Here is a 19,762-nt window from a genome sequence, read left to right as displayed (position 1 = left end):
GAGCCCAAATTCCACCCACTGGGTCATCAGATGCCTCAGGCCACCACGCTGCTCATCGGCCTCAAGGACTATAAGGATTAAATGAGATTGTACAAATGAGGCACTTAATCCAGCCCCTGGCAGAGTAACAGGTAGTTAATAAATGTTGACTGTGGTGTTCAACAGCACCAAACCAGTGGAGCCAGGATTTGAACCCAGGGTTTGAATCTGAGTTTATAGACAGAACCCAGGTCCACAACGGCAGTGCTGAAGCCTTGAAGGTCCTGGGCAGCGTTTTCCTGGTTTTTTTGTTTGTTTGTTTTGTTTTTGTTTTTTCTTCTGTAAAGGAAGGCTGTAATCCTGTAATCCTCTATTTCTGCCCCATTCGTCTGTGTTCTGGGGTAGAGAGTCAGGAAGGACCTTGAGGGACAGGCTGAGCCAGCTCCCCTTTATCCCCCAAAAGGAAATGTGGAAGACACACAAATAGGGGTGTCCCAGACTGTGCAAGTATGCATGTACACACAAACTTCTCACCCCACCACTCAAACAAGGACGGAAATGGCCAGTGGTCAGCTCACCCGGCAGGTGCCCAGAGTCTTAGGTTAGTATGGATCTAAAAGAAGGAAGGAAGGAAGTGGAGACTGGGCTTCCCACCCCCCCCACCGCCACCCCATCTGGGTTTGCTCTGGAGTAGGTATGTTGCACATGTGTGTTTTGCCATGTTGTTTATTTTCCTCTTTCCCTGTCTCCACCAGGAAGTGCCCAGGGCAGAGAGGCAGTTCAGGGCCTGGATCGGGCCTGAGTGTATACATGCAAATGAAGCTTACACTTGGGGCTCTCCTGCTGATACACAGCAGCTGTATGCAGAGCTCAAGCGTTTGGTGGAGAGGGTCTTATTTCCACCCCCATTTCAAAAGCTGGAAGTGGTGTTAAAAACAGAGCTGGCTAATACAGGCATCGGGGAGGCATGGGACATGGGGTGAACCACGTGCCACGCAGTCTTTGTATCAGTTCGTCCACACAGCAGCCCAACATGGTAAGACTGTTGTTAAACCTGCCTTCTATATGAAGAAACTAGGGTACAGACAGTAACGGTGCTATTCCTAGATGGACCCTCGGCTTGCCCATTTCTGTCATAGTCCATGGGGCAGCCTTGTTTGAGCCACCTGGGTTCTGGCAGGCAGTACCCCCCATCTTCCAGGAAGGAGGTTCTGCAAACAGGATTGGCCTCACACTTGGTTAAATGCACTGCTGTCACCATCTTGAAATTCTTAGTAATGTGTGAACAAGGGGTCCTGGATTTTTCTTTTGCGCCAGGCCCTGCCAACTATATAGCCAGTTCTGCCTGTGAACCAGTAGAAGAATCGGGAAGTTTGGAGCCTGGGTGTAGTGGCCATTGGCCAGGCTTAGTTTGCTCGCCTGCAGGGTGGGAATGAAGAGTGTGTCTGCCTCCCCTGCCTCCCTGCCCAGGCGGTGAAAGGCTCAGGGAGAGGGTGGGTGGACAGGCTGACTAAAGGAGGGAGGTGTTTATGGGAGCATGTCTGTCACTGTCATGATCATCACTAAGGCCCTCTGTGGAAACTGCTAAGGAGCGCGTTTCAGACCTGCCTCTCTGAGGATGGCGTGGGAATGTCTAGGCAGCTCTGAAGTCCAGGCCAGGTCAAGTCATGGTGAAGAGTCAGTTCTGGTGATAAATCTGTGGATTCAATGCACTTCTCTCCCTTCCTATGCTATGTCATGTTAGCTCTCCGGGCCTCAGTTTTCCTCATCTGTAAAATGGGGATGAAAAGCCCTGCCTGACAGCTGGGTGATAAAAGATGAGTCAAGTATGTGAGACGCCTAGCGTAGTGCCGGGCTCATGAAAAGCTCCCAGCCAGCGTAGCTGTTATTACTGTGTTTCCTTCTGGTGGTCTGCCACGTCAGGAACACTGTTTGGGGTTAGGTTTAGGAAGACAGTCAAGTGGGTCTGGAGGTGAGAAGGAAGGCTTGGGTGGCTCACGCTTAGCCTGTCCATATACACAGTACTCCAGAGTCCCCCGGCTCACTTTCCACCTGTGAGCTTCCGCTGTCTTCTCTGTGGGAAGCTGACATCCACAGGTTCACAGTCAAGACCCGATTTCGCTTTCTTCCTTCACCGCTCCCTCCCTTCCTTTTTACCGACAGGTGGTTCACGTTGCCTTCCAGCCATTGGAGTCAGGTGGACATTTGTGAGAGAGTTACCTTCTTGGTTGGGGCTTTGGGCAATTAGCTTTTCCTTGAGCTTGGCCCCTGAGAGAAAATCGCCCGCATGGCCATCACCAGGGTAGCAAATGCTAAAAGTCTGTTCCCGCACTTTGGGAGGCCAAAGCAGGAGGATCCTTTGAAGCTAGGAGTTCGAGACTATGCTGGACAACATAGCAAGACCCCATCTCTACAACAAATACAAAAATTAGCTGAACTGTGTGGCACTCCTATAGTCCCAGTTACTCAGGAGGCTGAGGCAGGAAAATTGTTTGAGTCTGGGAGTCTGAGTTTGCAGTGAGCTATAATCAGGCCACTGCACCCCAGCCTGTGCAACAGAGTGAGACCTTCTCTCTAAAAAAATAGAATAAAATGAGGCCTTCAGCACACGCCAGCACACTCTTCCACTGACTAACTCCTGACCCCTGTCCAGGGTAGCTCAGCCTGTCCTGCGGTCCTGCAGTCCCGTTACCATTGCACCCCAGCTGCCTCAGCTCCCCTTGGAACTGCTCCATGTGGTTGCTTAGTGTACTGACCCCCAACCCCCGAATATAAGCTGGGACACTCTGACTGGCTCACTGTCATGTCCACAGGTGCCTGCTACATAGCTGGTGCTGTGATAATGTTTGTGGAGTGCATACCCACTATGTGAAGCCTGTCTCAATACAATCCTGGTAGAAACGCGAAGTGTAAGGCACAGAGAGGTTCAGCAGTCTGCCCCAGGTCACACAGCTCTGAGGCTGGTCACACAGACCAGCACAACCAGCTCTCCCTCCAGAGCTTCACTTATCGCCCTGGAACTCCTGCCATGGGTCAGGGATGTCTGGTGAGAGCAGGCAGCAATTGCAGGCTGGCAGATGGAGAGCTACTTTTCTCCTTTTATCTCAGCATCTTTTTTTTTTTTTTTTTTTTTTTTTTTTTTGCTATTTTCTTCCTTGAGGTGTGAACCACCTGCTAGGGTGTGAATGGGCGAGAGTTCACAACAGGTGTCTGGAGATCTTAATTACAAGGCTTGCATCTCCTGTCCACCCCACACCTGTTGTGCCTGCTTTGTGGGCAACGTCTGTCCATCCCTGGCCTCCTGGCCTTCTCATTTCCTCTTGCAGTGGCCGTGACAGTGGAAGGAGGGCCGAGGACAGCTTGCTCACTCATGCTCCCCACACACACCTCCCTTGTCTCCCCCACACAGGCATGGGGTCACTGCCCGATTGACTCCTGGTTGTCAGCAGTACTTTTCCAAAAGCTTCCAGCCCTTTGAGCCCTTTCATCTGCTAGGGCAGAGACACAGAGCAGGATGGGGGAAGACTTCCCATTCTCCAGGCTTTCCCTGAAGAAACTCTGCAAAAATCAGGCTCAGGCAGCTCCTGAGAGCCAGCCAGGCAGGATGGGTTGAGTGAGGTGTGTGGGGTGGGAGAAAACCCTTAGCCAAGTTCTCAAAGGGATGGGTGAGGAGGATGAGGCTGACCCCAGGTGTCTCTCCTCTGCACAGGTCGTCTCCTCCCAAATCCACTTCCCCAGAGAGGCCCTAGGTCAGGGGGCATCACAGCCACTGACCACTGACCAACTCCAGCTATGCTTGCTCATTATTGCCTGGTGCTTTGGGGCTTCCGCAGCAGAGTTAAGAGCTTGCAACCTCATCCATATGACCTCATCCTACCTTGATGAGGTATTTCCAAATATCGATGCTCTGGCCCTGGCTGGGAAAAGTTTGCCAACCCCTGGACTCAGTTAAACACAAGGCCTAAGTGGGGATTTGGCACGTCCTCACAGAGCACTGGGAACCTGAAGTCAGAAAACGGGGTTTGTGGCCTTCTAGTTTCAGTTACACAGATAAGGTATTTTTTTCCTCCCCTTATAAAACATACAGGGGTTACAAATAAAGCTAAGTCCTGTTGACCCCCTCGGAGGGCTGGCCGCGAGGACCGGGTCATTTCCCCACTCTGCCCTGTTTTCCTATCAGGATATTCCCACTCTTCCTACTTTGCTGTGGTTTGAAAGGACGGAATGAATGCGTGCTTTCATTCCTTCAGTGTGCATGGGGTGCCTCCTGTCTCCTCTGCACCACGGGAGATGCAGATTTATTCCCCTGGCATTCCTCTGGCGTTGATGGAGCCTCTCTCTGTACCAGGTGCATTGCTCGGCACTGGGAAGGTGGCTGTGAACAAGGCAAAGTTCCTGCCCTCGTGGCTCTTATGTTCTAATGGTGGTTGGCAGTAGGGGCAGTAAACAAATGAACAAATAAATTCCGTGACATGGTGGCATGAGCGTTCTGAAGACAGTTAAAGCAAGAGTTAGGAGGGATGAGAATAAGACCAGTACCAGTTTCTGTGGCTGCCATGACAACATGCCACAATGGGGGTCTTAAACAGCAGACATGTATTCTCACAGTTCCAGAAGCCAGAAGTCCCAGTTCAAGGTGTGGGCAGGGCCATGCTGCCTCCGAAGGCTGCAGGGGGGATCCTTCCTCGCTTCCTCCCGCTCCTGGAAGCTGCTGCCAATCCCTGCTATTGCTTGGCATGGGGCTGTGTCAGTCCCGTCTCTGCCTCTGTCGTCTCTGGCGTTCTTCCTTCTGTGCCTTCTCCCGATAAGGACACCGGGCATTGCATCGAGGACCCACACTAATCCATATGACCCCATCTGATCTTGATCACATCTGTAGAGGTCCTATTTCTAAGTAAGGTCACATTACAGGTTTCAAGTACACATCATTTGGGAGACATCCAGTACAGGGAATCTTAGACTGGGCAGTTAGGTAAGGCTCCTCCAAGCAGGGGACATTTGCGTGGAGACCTGGGTTGTGAAGGAGTGAGCACGTGCAGATCCAGAGACAGTAAATGCCGAGCCCCGACGAGGCAGGACCAGCCTTGCCCCGTGTGATTGCCAGCTAGCATGCGTGCAGAAAAGTGCACAGATCCTAAGCGGACAGTATGGCAGGTGGTCACAAATTCAGCACCACTGTGTAACCAGCACCTGGCTCAAGAGGCAGAGCATTTCCAGCTAGCCCCTGCCCAGCGCCTCCTGCCAGTCACTACCTGCCCCCCACCAAGAGCAGCCACTCTCTTAACTTCGAAAAACATATATTAGTGTTGCCTGTTTTTGTACTTTCTGTAAATGGAACTGGAACATATATTCTCATTTGTGTCTGGCTTCTTTGATCATCATTCTATTTCTGGGATCCGCACTTGCTATGTTGCAGTTGTAATCCATTCATTGTTGTGACCATCTAGAATTCCATTGTGTGAATATGTTGCAATATACTTACCCATTTTACCAATGAGCATTTGGGTAGTTGGCAGGGTTTGGGCTATTTCAAATACTGCTCCTGTGAGCATTTCTTTGGCATCCACATGCATGTGTCCCTGTAGAGTGTATGTGTAGGTATGGAATTGCAGGGCCACAGGGTATGCATATCTCAGCTTTAGTAGATATTTATTTCCAGGCAGGTTTCCAAAGTGGTTGTATCAGTTTGCGCTTCCTTCCACGGTCAGTTTATGGTGTTCTGGTGCGCCTCATCCTCGTCCACACTTGGTGTTGTCTGTCTTTTCCTTAGCCATTCTGGTAGGTGGATAATGGCTACAGTGGTATTACTGTATTATGGTTCTAATCTGTGCTTCCCTGATAGTTCAGGAAGTCAAATATTTTCTCCTATGTTTATGAGCCATTTGGATATCTATTGTCTCTTGTGGGATGTCTGTTCAAGTCTTTTGCCCACTTTTTAAAAACTGGCTTGTATGATTTTTAAATTTATTTTTCTTTTCAATTTTCTAATTACTTTTTATTTAACTTTCTGTATTCTGGACTGTGTGATTGCAGTGTCTCCCATTCTGTGGGTTGCTTTCACCTTCTTGGTGGTATCCTTTGATGAACAGAGGCTCTTCACTTAGATATTGTCACTGTCATTCTTTCTCCTTCCTGGTTATAACTTTTTGTGTCTGCTAAGAGATCCTTGCCTCCTCTGAGCTCATGAAGGTGGCCACCTATATTTTTCTCTAAAAGGAAAGGCTTCTCTTTGACCCTTCACATCAAGGTATGCAATCCATCTGGCATTGATTTTTGTATATGGCGTGAGGTGCAGACCAAGGAGCATTTTTTTTCCACTTGGATATTCAATTGGCCCAATATCATTTATTGCAAAGACCATTCTTTCCCCTCCCTCTGCAGCATTGATTTTGTCATAGATCAGGTGACTGTGTGTGAGGGTCTGCTTCTGACTCTAATCTGCTCCCCGGGTCTATTTGTCTGCCCCCATGCCAATACCAACCTGTGTTAATTACCAAGGCTTTGTAATAGACTTGATATCCAGTGGCTTTGTTCTTTCTCGTGATTGCCTGGCTGGGGTTGGCCATTAGCACTTCAGGTCTTTGGGCTTTCTTGACTTACATTTGTAAAAGATCTTGTAAGGAGAAAAGTCTCTCAGGGGGACTAGCAGGTGTGAGGAGACCCAAGAGGGGGTTTTTGCTTCACCTGGGCCATAGCTGACTGCGGCTTGGACCAGGCGTCAGCCACGGAAGTGGGATGCCAGGTCAGTTTGGGAATATGTTTGATGGTGGCTTTGGTGAGGACTATGGCAGAGAGAGGGATTGCAGATGACACCTATATTTAGGTCCTAAGCAGCTAGCTGGATGATTGGCCACATTCGGGGACGGGAAAGTCTGAGAGAGCTGCCATCTTGGTGGAATGTGCATCCCTCACAGCCCCGCTCCACACACACACATCCTCTCCTCACCTGTCATACAGCACAAATAACCACTGGCCACAGTCGTGATGCCAAGGTTGTGTGCCTCAACCCATCTGGCCGTGTGTCTATGTGTGTTTGGGGGCTTCTGTGAGCATTCCTGTTGGGATCCATGCATGTCAGCCTCAGCACCAGCATTTGAGTATTGATGGTCCTCGCTGCTGCATTCTCTGCCTATGTGAGCAAGGCACCATTAACGATACCTCCCGATGTCTGCACAGCACCTTACCCAAGGGCCTGCCGGGGCCTGAAGTGCTTTTGTGCTCAGGATTTCATTCATTCCCCCGCCAAGAAGCCTGGGGAACTGAAGCGCACAAGTCAGATGGCTTCCCAGCTATAAAACCCTGCACAAGTGGCAAAGCCGTATTTGCACTCACAGATACTCTTCCTGTGCTGTCTTTCCTATTATGAATTCAAGGGAAAGAGTTTTTTTTAACTCTTTCATGTGCCCATTCAGCAACATATCTGCTGAGCCCTTACAACATGCCTATCTTCAGCAAGCATCACCCCTGAGGTTTTACTGTCCACTGTGCTTATCAAGGGCAGTCCACAAATAACCACGTGCTTATTGGGAGCTCAGTGCTCTACCTCCTACCCTCAGAATAACCACAGTCTAAGGAAGTGATGAGCCACCTGGAAGATGAGCACAGGTACCAGGCAGTGACTACAAAATGCCAGGGAATCAGTTCCACTAAGGGAATGGCCCCAAGACAGAATGTAGGAGTCCTTGCCTCATATCTTTTTATTTCAAAAAAAAGATCTTGAGTTCTTAGTGGACTCCAGGGTTCACATTAACCAGCTGTGGGATGTAGCTCAACAGAATCCCATGGTCCGGATCCCAGAGGTCTCAACTCCTCTATGGCATGACCACATCTTAAATCTGTCTTTTAACGGGTAAAGTGAGTAAGTATGTCCTCTTATTTTAGGAGGGAGAGACAGGAACTACCCAGATTATATCAAGATAGAAGATCTGATATAGGGTTGGCCAGCCTACAAAAGGAATGCCCAAGAGGAATATTCAGGGCTCTGACTCACAGCAAATGTTACCGAAAATCAGATTTCTGCTGAGGGTACAAACAAATGAATATACATGTAACGGTCAGGATGGCTAAAATAAAAAATAGTGGTGACACAAAATGCTGACAATGATGCAGAGAAACTGGATTGTTTATGCATTGCTCATGGGAGCCAAAAATGGTACAGCTGCTCTGGGAAATTCCAAGTGTGGGCAGTTTCTTACAAAGTAAAACGTGCACTTTCTCTATGACCCAGTGATTGCACTCTTGGGCATCAACAACAGAGAAATGACAACTCACGTTCACACAAAAACAGATGTCTGTCAGCTGATGAGTGGATAAACAAAATGGGGTGTATTCATACAATGGAATGTTATTCGGCCATAAATAGGAATGGACTACTGATAACGTGGATTTGAAAACATGATGCTGAGTGAAAGAAGCCAGACACGAAAGGCCACGTATCCTATGATTCTGTATCTGTGGGTTCCACATCCACAGATTCTGCACCCACAGATTCCACCAACCACAGATCGAAAATAATGCAGAAGGGACTTGAGCATCCTTGGATTTTGGTACCCATGAGGGTCCTGGAACCCATCCCCTGTGGATACCGAGGGATGACTAGGCACATCCGTAGAGACTGAAAGTAGATTCACAGTTGCTTAGGGAAGGGGAAGGTAGGTTGGGAGTTACTGGATAGAGGGTACAGGACTTCTGTGTGAGGTAATGAAAATCTTCTAAAATTGGCTGTGGCAAGGGTTGCACAGCTCTGTAAATGTAGCAAAAACCATCAAGTTGTGCACTTTAAATGGGTGAACTATATAAGATGTGAATTATATCTCAATAAAGCTGCTAACCCCCCCATAAAAGGAATCTATAATTGAATGTTCATAATACCTTTATGCATAAATAGCCAAAACTTGGAAACAACCCAAATGTCTTTCAGTAGGAAAATAGCTACACAAACTGGTATGTTCAAGACATGGGATGCTGCTCAGCAGTAAAAAGGGACAAACTATTGATTCACAAAACAACGTGGCTAAATCTCCAGAGATTTATACTAAATAGAAAAAAATAATCCTGAAAAGATGACATACTGTGTGATTCCATTTATATAACGTTGTCTTTTTTTTTTTTTTTTTTGAGACTGGGTCTCATTCTGTTGTCCAGGCTAGAGTACAGTAGTGTAATCATTGCTCACTGAAGCCTCAAACTCCTGGGCTCAAGGGATCCTCCTTCCCCAGCCTCCTGAGTAGCTGAGATTACAGGCATGCACTTCCACGCCCAGCTAATTTTTCAGTTTTTTTGTAGAGACAGGGCTTGCTATGTTGCCCAGGCTGGTCTTGAACTGAGCCCAAGTAATCCTCCTGTGTCAGCCTCCCAAAGTGCTGGGATTACAGGTGTGAGCCACCACACACAGCTCTATAATGTTCTTGAAATGACAAAATTAGATGAGTGGGAGGCAGGAGGGAGGGAGGTGCCTGTGTCTATCAAAAGGTAGCTTAGGGGGTCCTTGTGATAAAACCATTCTGTGTTTTCATTGTGGTGGACACTCATAACTACTCATAAGATTTCATGGAACTCAATACATACATGCAAATGACCGCATATAAAACTAGTGAAATCTGAATAAGGTCAATTATTAATGTTGATTTTCTGATGATGATATTGTACTGTAGTTTTGCCAGATGTCACCATTGAGGGAAACTGGGTGAAGGGTGTATAAGATCTCTCTGATTCTTTCTTACAACTGCATATAGATCTATAATTATCTCAAAATTCAAAGGTTTTTTAAAAGTGAATATCCCAAACTATAAAGCATTAGAAAAAGGCCATTTCCTGCAGTAATGAGTTGCCTATCATCAGCGGTAAGCAAGTGATGTCAAGGTTAACTGTTTGTTAAGGATGCTTAAGAAGGAATTCCTGGGGCTGGGCATGGTGGCTCACGCCTGTAATCCCAGCACTTTGGGAAGCTGAGGCAGGTGGATCACCTGAGGTCAGGAGTTCAAGACCAGCCTAGCCAACATGGTGAAACCCCGTCTCTACCAAAAATAGAAAAAAAAAAATTAGCCAGGCGTGGTGGCAGGCGCCTGTCGTCCCAGCTACTCGGGAGGCTAAGGTGGGAGAATCACTTGAACCCAGGAGGTGGAGGTTGCAGTAAGCCAAGATTACACCACTGCACTCCAGCCTGGGTGACAGAGCAAGACTCTGTCTCGAATGAATGAATGAATGAATGAATGAATAAAAGAAGGAATTCCTGATGGAGTGAGAGGCCAGGCTTACTCTCTATGTGAAACTTCCTCCCCAAAGTATGCCAGCAGTAGCCTTTTATGGGGTCAAAGAAGGTAGAATCCTCTAGGCTTTAGGGTCACCTGCAGGTGGTGGTTCCTTGGTCAGAAGGAAACTAATATTCAGCTGCCACAGAGTCAACAGATGGGGGGATAAGTGGGGGAAGAGAAATTATCCCAACTTTTATACTCCATATAGACAATTTATACAGTTTATTACTTAAATCTAGGCTAACTGTACCTAGGGAAATCAAAAGGCTGACCTAGTAAGTACATTTTATCTAGGATCTATTTTTATTTAGTAGGTTCATACATGAACCTTGTACTATAAAGAATGTAGAAAATATTAACCTTCAGTTTGCAGTGTGAGGAAACACTGTTTGGGGATCTTTCTAGACCCTTTTCAGAAAGCAAAGAAACCAGTGCGGAACTTTCTTAGGCTTCTGTCTATCTGTGTCTCTCCAGATTCTCCATATTGCAGGATGGGCACAAAGCCATGTTTCTCAGAACATGCCCTGCCCTATTTAAGATCTCTGGGAATGCAGCCCCAAGGAGTTTGGGAGGGATGTTTACTGAGTGATACCTTCTTCACTGGAGAAGCTGGCTTTGCAGACTCTTCTCCTTTTTGATCATCCTACCAATATGTCCAGAGGATGATCAGAGGCTGTAAAAGTTACTGCTGCTCAAGCCAAGAGAAGTGCCACTTGCTCAGAGGACATACTCGGGTTAGCTGAGTTCTTGTCTTCATGCTGTCCTTCCTCCTCCTTCATCAGGAGTTGGCTGTCAGCTTGGAAAGGCGCCAGTGTGATTTTCCACGTGGAAAAAAAACACTAGCCAGGGAGTCAGGAGACCTGAATTCTGGCCTGGGCCCTGCTGCTTGACCTCCGGCGATTACATGACCTCTCGGGGCCTCATTTGTTGAATGATTCCATGAAGGGTTTGGGATAGGCCTGCCATTTCCAAGCCAACACAAACCCATTGGTCATGGCTGCCTGGAACCCTGTGCGGGAGGATTGAGACTGTTTGGGCTCCGTGGAAAATGGCACCGAAATTGATTAGTGATGTCTGCCACAGATGTGGGGCCAGCGTCTTTGATAAGTCAACAGCTGCACGTACTTGACTAAGAGTATGTCATTTATCTGCCATGAGGCTGTTTCCATCTGCCAGACTAACTGGTCGAGCAATCCCAAACCACGGCCACGTGGAAGCCTCCTTAGTTTGCCTCCTTAAAAAAATAAATAATTAACCCTGAGCACTGAGAAGGGTTTTCTTGCCGTTGTTTTCGTCCTTCCTTTGAGATTTCGCAGGCTCGGGCTTCCGCTGCAGCTGGCGTTTTCCCTCACTGCACGCCTAGACTGGTTCCAGAGTGGGCGACAAAAGCTCAGACAGTGGAACAGGGTGCCCCAGGGAGAGCGTGCCTGTACCGGGGGAAGGGTGGCATTGTGCGCCCTCATTCCTCCCCTCCTGCCCCAAGCAGCCGCGGCAGCTCACTCTAACCTTGCTTTCACACCTCCCCTGTCTGCATTCAGAGCCTTTTCAGCTGCAAGGTCTCTGTGCTTTGTCTGGGCTTGCTCGGAGGGCCGCCGTTGGCTCATTGTTGGAGCTGATAATTGCGCGCCATGTCTTCCAGCATTCTGGGTGGTGAAAGGCAGCAGGGAGCCCCAGACAGCTTGGGGGATTCCTCTTTAGGAACAGCTTCTCTCCCCTCACGCATCGCAGAGTTTTCCACGGAAAAGGGAGGTCTCAAACACTGCTTTTTAGTTAAGAAATAACTTGTCGGTTTAGCAAATATTTACTAAGCATCACTAATGAAGCAGGGACTGCGCCAGGTGCTAGGTTACAGAAACAACCATGAACTCCAGAAAGGGAAGGAACCGTTTTGGCTTAGAGGGAGGTGGATACAAGGCTTACCCCATTAAAACCCTCAGGGTAGAAGCCCGGATTGTGCATGCTGTTTTGTCTTGACTTAGTAACTTGGTCTGATGAGTTCTCTGGGACTCAGTGTCTGTCTCTGTAAAATGGCAGGATTAACAGCTGTGTCTGGTTTGCTGTAAGATACAAGGTCAGTGAGGCTGGTAAAGCACCTGGTATCACTCCTGGCTTAGGGTTGCTGTCATCTCTATTGTGGCTCCTGCCTCGGACTTCAGTAATACACTCGGGCTGCGTAAGGAGCCAGGAGACTAGGCTGTGACTCCCAGCCCTGCTGCTAACTAGCTGTGTGCTCTTAGGAAAGTCACCTAACCTTTCTGATCCTCCCTGAGGAAACTGAAGTAAGGGAATTCCCAACGACGTGATGGTCTCTGAGTTTCATTCCTAAAGTAACATTGCATGCAATCTTGGGCCATCACAGTGTTTCTCAAACTTGAGCAAGGTATAAAGAGCCCTTTTAAAGTAAAATACAATTTCACAGTCCTTTCCCATGGTGATAATGTAAATATTTTTATTATTATGTTATTTAACTATGTACAAATATAAAACTCAGAATAAACTGACAACTCATGCTTATGGTTCTTTTAGGACTATAAAACCAAAACACAATTTCACGTTAAATACAAACAAAATTTAAACTCAATAAAATTCAAATTAACAACATTATTTTAGCGTGATGGATGATGTCGTTTTGCAGAAACTAAATTCAGAATGTGGGTTTTTAATATTAGAAAGATGTAGCCTCAGGTCCAGATCTATAATCTGTTTCGGTTCTTTTACGTCAGTAATACTAATGCAGAGAATGCCTGTTTGCATAAGTAAGTGCTTGTGCAGGATGAGAATACCAAATTGAAGGCTTCATTTGCTGGTTCAGCACGATTAGACCTCTTGCTTCTCTGAGTCTTGCCGGTCATCAAACACCCGTTTTCATGCAGCGGTGCTTATTGGTTCTATCCTGATCACTTAAAAATAAAAGTTAGCATTGTAGTGTTATTGAAATTATGAATGAATGGATAACCAATTACTCTTGGAATTGGGAACAGAAAAATGTTTCATTGTTCATCCCAGTGAATTGATCTCTTGTTGCCAGTTGGTTAGGTGCAGAGACATGATCTGAACACTCTAGTGTCCAAAGGCATCATGTCTGTGTCTGTAGGATGTCACTTGCCTGTCCCTGAAGTCCAGTACAGGCACTGAAATCTCTTCACGGTTCTATCATGATACACATGTATGTACACGTATTAAAAATTAGACTGTCTAAATAAAAACAGAAAAACCTGAAATTGTCCTACAAAAAGAGCAAATCCTCTCCACCCCCACCCCACCCTCAACACACATGCACAGGTATATATGCCCAAATGTATCCGAGAGGCAGCAGACCCTAATTAGAGAAACTGTTCCATTAAATGGACTCTTACTTTAGTCCAAATTTCAGGTTCCAGGATACCTGTCAGGTTCACTTAGACCTGTAGATCTTTTTCCCAGCCAAGCCCACCTGTGGTTGAAATGCTGCTGGTTTTGATGCAATTTACCTATTGGAGTTAGTCATTTTGCTACTTGGCCACCAAGGTTAAATGAAGCTTCTGGTGCTCCTTGGCATGTCCTGTGAGTCTGTTTACCTGGGAATGGGATGTGGCCAGAGGCTCTGCTCAGGTAATCATAGAAGTCAAAGCAAGAGGTTGCTCAGTGAAGAGGGAAGGGCTACTACAGCTGGAGGCTTTGTGCACAGTCAAGCCTCAGCTGGTAGCGTAGTGATTCAGATGGTCAGTACTGTAATCTGCAGGAGTGGTGGCCTCTAGGATTGTGCAGTATTCAACCTGCACGACCAAACATGGCCGCCCTGAGAGTCTATCAGATTGGTGTTTCTGTTTGCTTTTAAGAGACAGAGTGTTGCTATATTGCCCAGGCCAGTCTTGAACTCCTGGCCTCAAGTGATCCTCCCACCTCAGCCTCCCGAGTAGCCGGGATTGTAGGTGCGAGCCACCACACCTGGCTAGATTGGTGTTTGAATCTTACCTCCTTCAGCTGTCACACTTGGACAAGTCATTTAAACACTCTGGGCCGGGTGCCATGACTCACACCTGTAATCCCAGTGCTTTGGGAGGCCAAAGTAGATGGATTACTTGAGGTTAGGAGCTTGAGACCAGCCTGGCCAACGGGGTAAAACCCCATCTCTACTAAAAATACAAAACTTAGCTGGGTATGGTGGTGGGCGCCTGTAATCCCAGCTTGGGAGGCTGAGGCAGGAGAATCGCTTGAACCCAGGAAGCAAAGGTTGCAGTGAGCTGAGATCACACCAGTGCACTCCAGCCTGGGCGACAGAGCGAGACTCTATCTCAAAAAATAAAAAAATAAACACTGACTGTCAGTATCTGCATCTATAAAATGGAGATCATAATAAATACTTGCCGGGTCTATTGGGAGGGCTCAGTAAAGTAACAAGTAAAGCCATTGGCCCAAAGCCATGGTTCCCAAACTGTGTACCAAGGCACCTCAGGGTGCCACAGTGAACTGACACCTTTCCTGTGGGCTATTTCAGATTTCTGAGGAAAAACAGCCACATCTGTCAGAGATGGTGTAAACTGCTACTGTCAAGTTGTTTAGCCCTAACTACTTAATAAACAAACTGTTAGGTATTTCTTTCGGCCTAGGAGTGCCATGAAAAGATCCTGCAGCCTAGTGTTTGGTGCAAAATCAGCACTCAATAAATAGGAGAGGTTCTTTTGTTGTAATAGAGCCAGAAAGGCTGTGCTGGCCTCAAGATTCCATTTTGTTTCGACTCTTCGTACATTTCACCATCGTCTTGGAGGCGCTGGGATTGGTATCCAGGGTTATTCACCATTCCTCCCGCCTTCCCTCTCCTCACCTCTGTTCTCTTGTAAAATGCATTTCAGAACATGGATTTCTCAGCCCAGATTTCGGGAAAAAACCCAGCCTGCCTGCAGCCATCTCAATGGGGTGTCACAAGAGCATCCAAAACATAAAAGTCTCAGAAGAAAATTAATTTTCTTCACTGTAATGTCTGTGCCTCCCAGTGTTCCTGGCAAGAGCTGGTCCTCCAGGTTGGAGCCAGGGTGTGGCTCCCCTCCCATGGGGGGCGGAGCCTGTGGGGACAGCCTGGGCCTGAACCTTTAAGGCGGACATGCCCCCGAGCCCAGAAATTCCCTGGAGCTCTAAGCACCTCACGTGATGGGGCCGCTGCATTCCGGAGAATTTGCCTGGTTTTCCCTGCTCTGGGGCAAGCGAACAAAGCACATTACAGGGAAGATAGGTGGACCCAGGGCCCAGGATGTTTCTCTTTGGTTTGCTTTGTTTTGTTTTCACTTCCATCCTCATTCTAGCTACCTCCAGCGACCTCATGGATTGGGGTGCCCTTTAGCTGACAGTTGACAGGTTAAATTACAGAAAAATGCTAATATGTGGTCATCTTTGACATTCAAAAACAGCCTAATTATAATCGTTCATCCTTTATTGTACCCCTACCATGCACCCAGCACACATGAGCTCTCTCTCCCTTTCTCCTCTCTACATATATATCTATAGATATGTGTATAGAGAGATACATAGATATGTACATGTATATTTGAGAGAGAACGAAATGTATATATTGGATTTTTATATATACACATATATAAAATATATCCTATATGTAATCCTATATATAGCTATAGTATATATTCTATATATAATCCAATAGATATATAGTATATATCCTATATATAAGATTTTTTCTTTTTTAAAAAATGTAGTTGCACAATTAAAACATGAATATGTTTTCCTTGCTGAAAGTAAAATTTAAGGCCAAGATATCCTTTCATCCACTGCCACCCAAGTCTTGTGCCACCCTCCTCCCTGGAGAAATTCATGCCACTCATTTGCGAATCTCCTTCTAGATCTTTGTCTTTGCATTTTGTACATATGTGAACCTGTAGGCGACGGATGTGATAGTGTTGTGTCCATTTAGAGAAAATGATGTCGTGTTTTCTGTATTGTTAGGCGTCTTCCCCTCTCTGACATGTGTCTGGCAATCTTGCCTATTTCACCCATGTAACTCTCCTCATCTTTCATAATGCCGTACGTATCCTTCACTCTCAGGAGGCCAGGCAGCCCATTTCACAGATAAGGAAAGTGGGTTTGGAGCCGGGCATGTTGTATGGTTGAGAGGTGGTCCTGACTGTTTCCCTCCCAGCAGCTCACCTTCCCTGCCCCATCATCCCTCGTGGACTGACACACACTCTCTCCCGCCCAACCAAGATGAGGCATTGGTCTTCCTGGCAGGCCACCTTGCAGGTTAATGGAGAGTTACCATCAATACCATAGATGGCCACTTTCCAGGGAATTCAAATATAATAAAATATACTTAACATGGGAACTCGATGGAGTGTAATTGAAATCTTTGATGATCCAGAAGGTGATTCAGGACCTGCTGGGCCCTGTTTCATCCTTGCAAATATCAACTATCACTGTGCATGCTGCACAGAAGCCTTGATGAGTGAAGTTCCCTGGCTGCTGGCCTAAGTGGTTCTCATTGTGTGCCACGTCCCCTGCGATGGGCCTTGTCCTCTGGCCAGAAGAGCAGGCTTGGGGAAGTGCTTTGCTCAGGTGAAGGACAGCCCCTGTCCAATATCAAAATGGTCAGGCATGTGGCTGTCCCAGTCGTGGCCTTAGTGTCGTCGCACAAGGGTGTGTCCCACTTGACTGTCTGCAAAGCACTTCAGCCAGTGCTTGGACTCTGCTCTCAGATAGCACAGGCTTTGAGTCCTAGCCCAGACCTTCATTTGGAGAAGTAGATTTGTAGCTTATTATTCCCTTTTCAGGAAAATGCAGCTCTGTAAGCAGGTAGATTCCTCATCTACTTCCAGAATAATTAAGACCTTAATTCATCCCTGCAGAATTTGAGAAAAATGTCAGTTGAAAGAAAATTACATTGCAACCCCCAGTCTGAGGAGTATGTTTATAAAGGGGCACAAAACTTCAATCAGAGCTCCCTAGCAACCAAAGCAAGAAAGGGGAGAGGCACTGTGCCTGCTAACTCTTACTCTGCCACCCAGCCCTCTAAAGAGATGCCCCTCCCTCAGAGGGTGCCAGGGGTTCTGACAGCCTAGATTAAGCCTGTTATTTCTCAGGCTGGAGAGGGCATGTTCTGTTTGTATTTTGGTACCTAAAACTTCAAGATTAACAAGGCTTAGCCTCTTGCAGCATCAGTTTTACTCAGTAATATAGCACAAACTTATTTTTTGAATGTTACTGCACACATACTGCCCTGTTGTGGAACAGGATGCAAAGTTGGCATGCAGGGTTAAAATAAGCACAAGATGACTTTGACTCACACCCCCTGAGCCTCTGAAGTGTGTGCTCCTCTCACCTACCATTCAGGGGAAGGGGAAAGATGTGTTGCCGGAAAGTCTTGAGACATCTTGGCCTAACTCATAAGTGGAGAGAAAGAGGTAGAAAAGGGAGCTATGAAAGAGAGAAGGTGGTGCAGACCAGGAAAAGGTGGAGTGCTCAGTGCTGATCTTCAGTGCCAAGCTTGTCCCACCTTGCTCGCCTGCGCTCTGACTGTTGTGTGTGCCGAGACAACACCATCCATTAGAACTTTCTGCCGCAATAAAGATACTCTCCATCTACGCTGTCCAGTACAGTAGCTGCTGGCCCTGTGTCGCTCCTGAGCACTTGAAATCTGGCAAGTGTGACTGAGGAATTGAATTTTCACTTTACTCAATGTCAATTGAAAGAGCCAAAAACCTGTATTTTTCTCATTTTAGTCACATATGGCAGAGGCTGCCATATTGGGCAGCACGGATCTAGATTCTTTAAAACGCTGATACCTTTTGATCTAATGATTCTTCTCCTAGAGCTCTATTCTAAAGAAATAATTGGAAATGTGGACAAAGTTTTTAAATGGGAGGATCTTCAATGGTGGGTTGCTTATGATAGCAAAAAATTAGAAACACTACCAGTGTTCAGCAGTGAGACAGGGCGGGCTAAATGATGGAAGGAAAAGACATCCGCAGTGTTTATCAAGAATGTTACTGCGAGGAGAAATGCTTTTCCATCCAGCAATCAAGGGAAGAAAGCAAGAATCAAAACAGTAGGCCAGCCGCGGTGGCTCACACCTGTAATCCCAGCACTTTTGGGAGGGCAAGGCGGGCGGATTGCTTGAGCCCAGAAGTTCAAGAACAGCATGTCACTACAAAAAAGTTAAAAATTAGGTGGCCAGGTGTGGTGGCTCACACCTGTAATCCCAGAACTTTGGGAGGCTGAGGCAGGCGGATTGCTTGAACCCAGAAATTCAAGACCAGTGTGTCTCTACAAAAAATTAAAAATTAGACAGGTATGGTGGCATGTGTCTGTAGTGCCAGTTACTCAGGAGACTGAGGTGGGAGGATGGCTTGAGCCCAGGAGTTGGAGGCTGCTGTGAGCCATGATTGCACCACTGCACTCCAGCCTGTGTGACAGAGCAAGACCCCATCTCTCTTATTAAAAAAAAAAAAAAAATCAATAGTTACAGTGTGGTCATTGAGTAGACCCGCATAGACATATATGCATAGAAAAAAAGACTGGAAGGAAATGCACCCAAAATAAAGATCATTATTGGTGAGTTTTTAGGCACTTTTTATTTCCTCCCCCATATTACTGTGCATTTGGCAAATTACCTGCACCGAACACGGATACCACTTTAGAATCAGAAGAAAAAATATTTCTTCAAAATAAGACAGCTGTTCATTGCTCTATCACAGTTGTCAGGGGAGGGCGAGGAGGGTGTTTCATGAGATACTCAGGTTCAAACTCAAGACCCATTTCACTTTTAATAAACCTTTTGAGTGGCTGTCTGCATTCTCTCTTCCCCGTCTCTGTTCAGCATTCCTCTTTAACTCCAAAGCTGACCCTTTTAAAAACCTAATCGCATTAAACGAAGCCAGGACAATACTGCTCTGCTGTCTTTTTGCCCAGCACTTTATATCATTTCAAAACTCTTTCATACACAAAACTCTTTTGAATCTTACCCTATTAGCAAGTCAAAGTTTTACTCTTTCAAAATTCTTTCTCCTGATTATAAAACGAATCTCATTCCTGAGAGTTTGGGAAATTGAGCAAATGCCAAAGAAAACCACCCCAGTCCCCACTGGGCAACAATAGCAATCCTGTTTCTGTCTGCCTTGCCCCATCATTTTTTCCTATGCCTCTGGAGGCAGGGCTGGTATTAATATCACCACCGCACAGATGAGGAGATAGCAGGTCAGAGAGGTTAAGTGACTCACCTGAGGTCTCGTGGCTGGTTAAGTGGCAGAACCGAGGCCCGAGCCTGAGTTCTAGTCTGTGTTCTTTGCCTGGCTTTGTAGGTGAGGCTTGATGTAACCCCCAAATAGGCATCTCACCTATTCATAGGATGCTGAGAGCCTCTTATCCTTCCAAGTGCAGTGCTTAAAAGCCTTCTATAATGGCTCAGCTCACAGAGTAAGTTACACCGGGCTGATCCTTTCTTTACAGGAGTTTACTATTTAAAGTAGACACGGGTGACACAGACAGGGTTATTCAGGATGTGCGTTGTCACATACAAGCAGAATGATCTCAGTGTTTACCCGACACAC

The 19,762-nt window shown here is 46.7% G+C and overlaps 1 protein-coding gene across 7 annotated transcripts in view, besides 1 other annotated feature; it reads left to right on the top strand.

The window, feature by feature from the left end:
• RBM19 (RNA binding motif protein 19) overlaps positions 1-19,762 on the top strand; it is a 149,586-nt gene that overhangs the window by 54,631 nt on the left and 75,193 nt on the right. The gene's annotated exons all lie outside the window — the stretch shown is intronic.
• Positions 791-1,291: an enhancer, noted in NCBI's record as "H3K27ac hESC enhancer chr12:114348209-114348709 (GRCh37/hg19 assembly coordinates)". NCBI's record gives its function as "activates a minimal SCP1, AML or CMV promoter by ChIP-STARR-seq in primed H9 embryonic stem cells {active_cell/tissue: H9 hESC(primed)}" and the evidence as "EXISTENCE:reporter gene assay evidence [ECO:0000049][PMID:30033119]".

The sequence above is a fragment of the Homo sapiens genome, chromosome 12 (assembly GCF_000001405.40).
Source record: "Homo sapiens chromosome 12, GRCh38.p14 Primary Assembly".
NCBI lineage: Eukaryota > Metazoa > Chordata > Mammalia > Primates > Hominidae > Homo > Homo sapiens.
The sequence above is the reverse complement of the archived record's forward strand: the minus strand, read 5'-3'. Positions and strand labels throughout refer to the sequence as shown.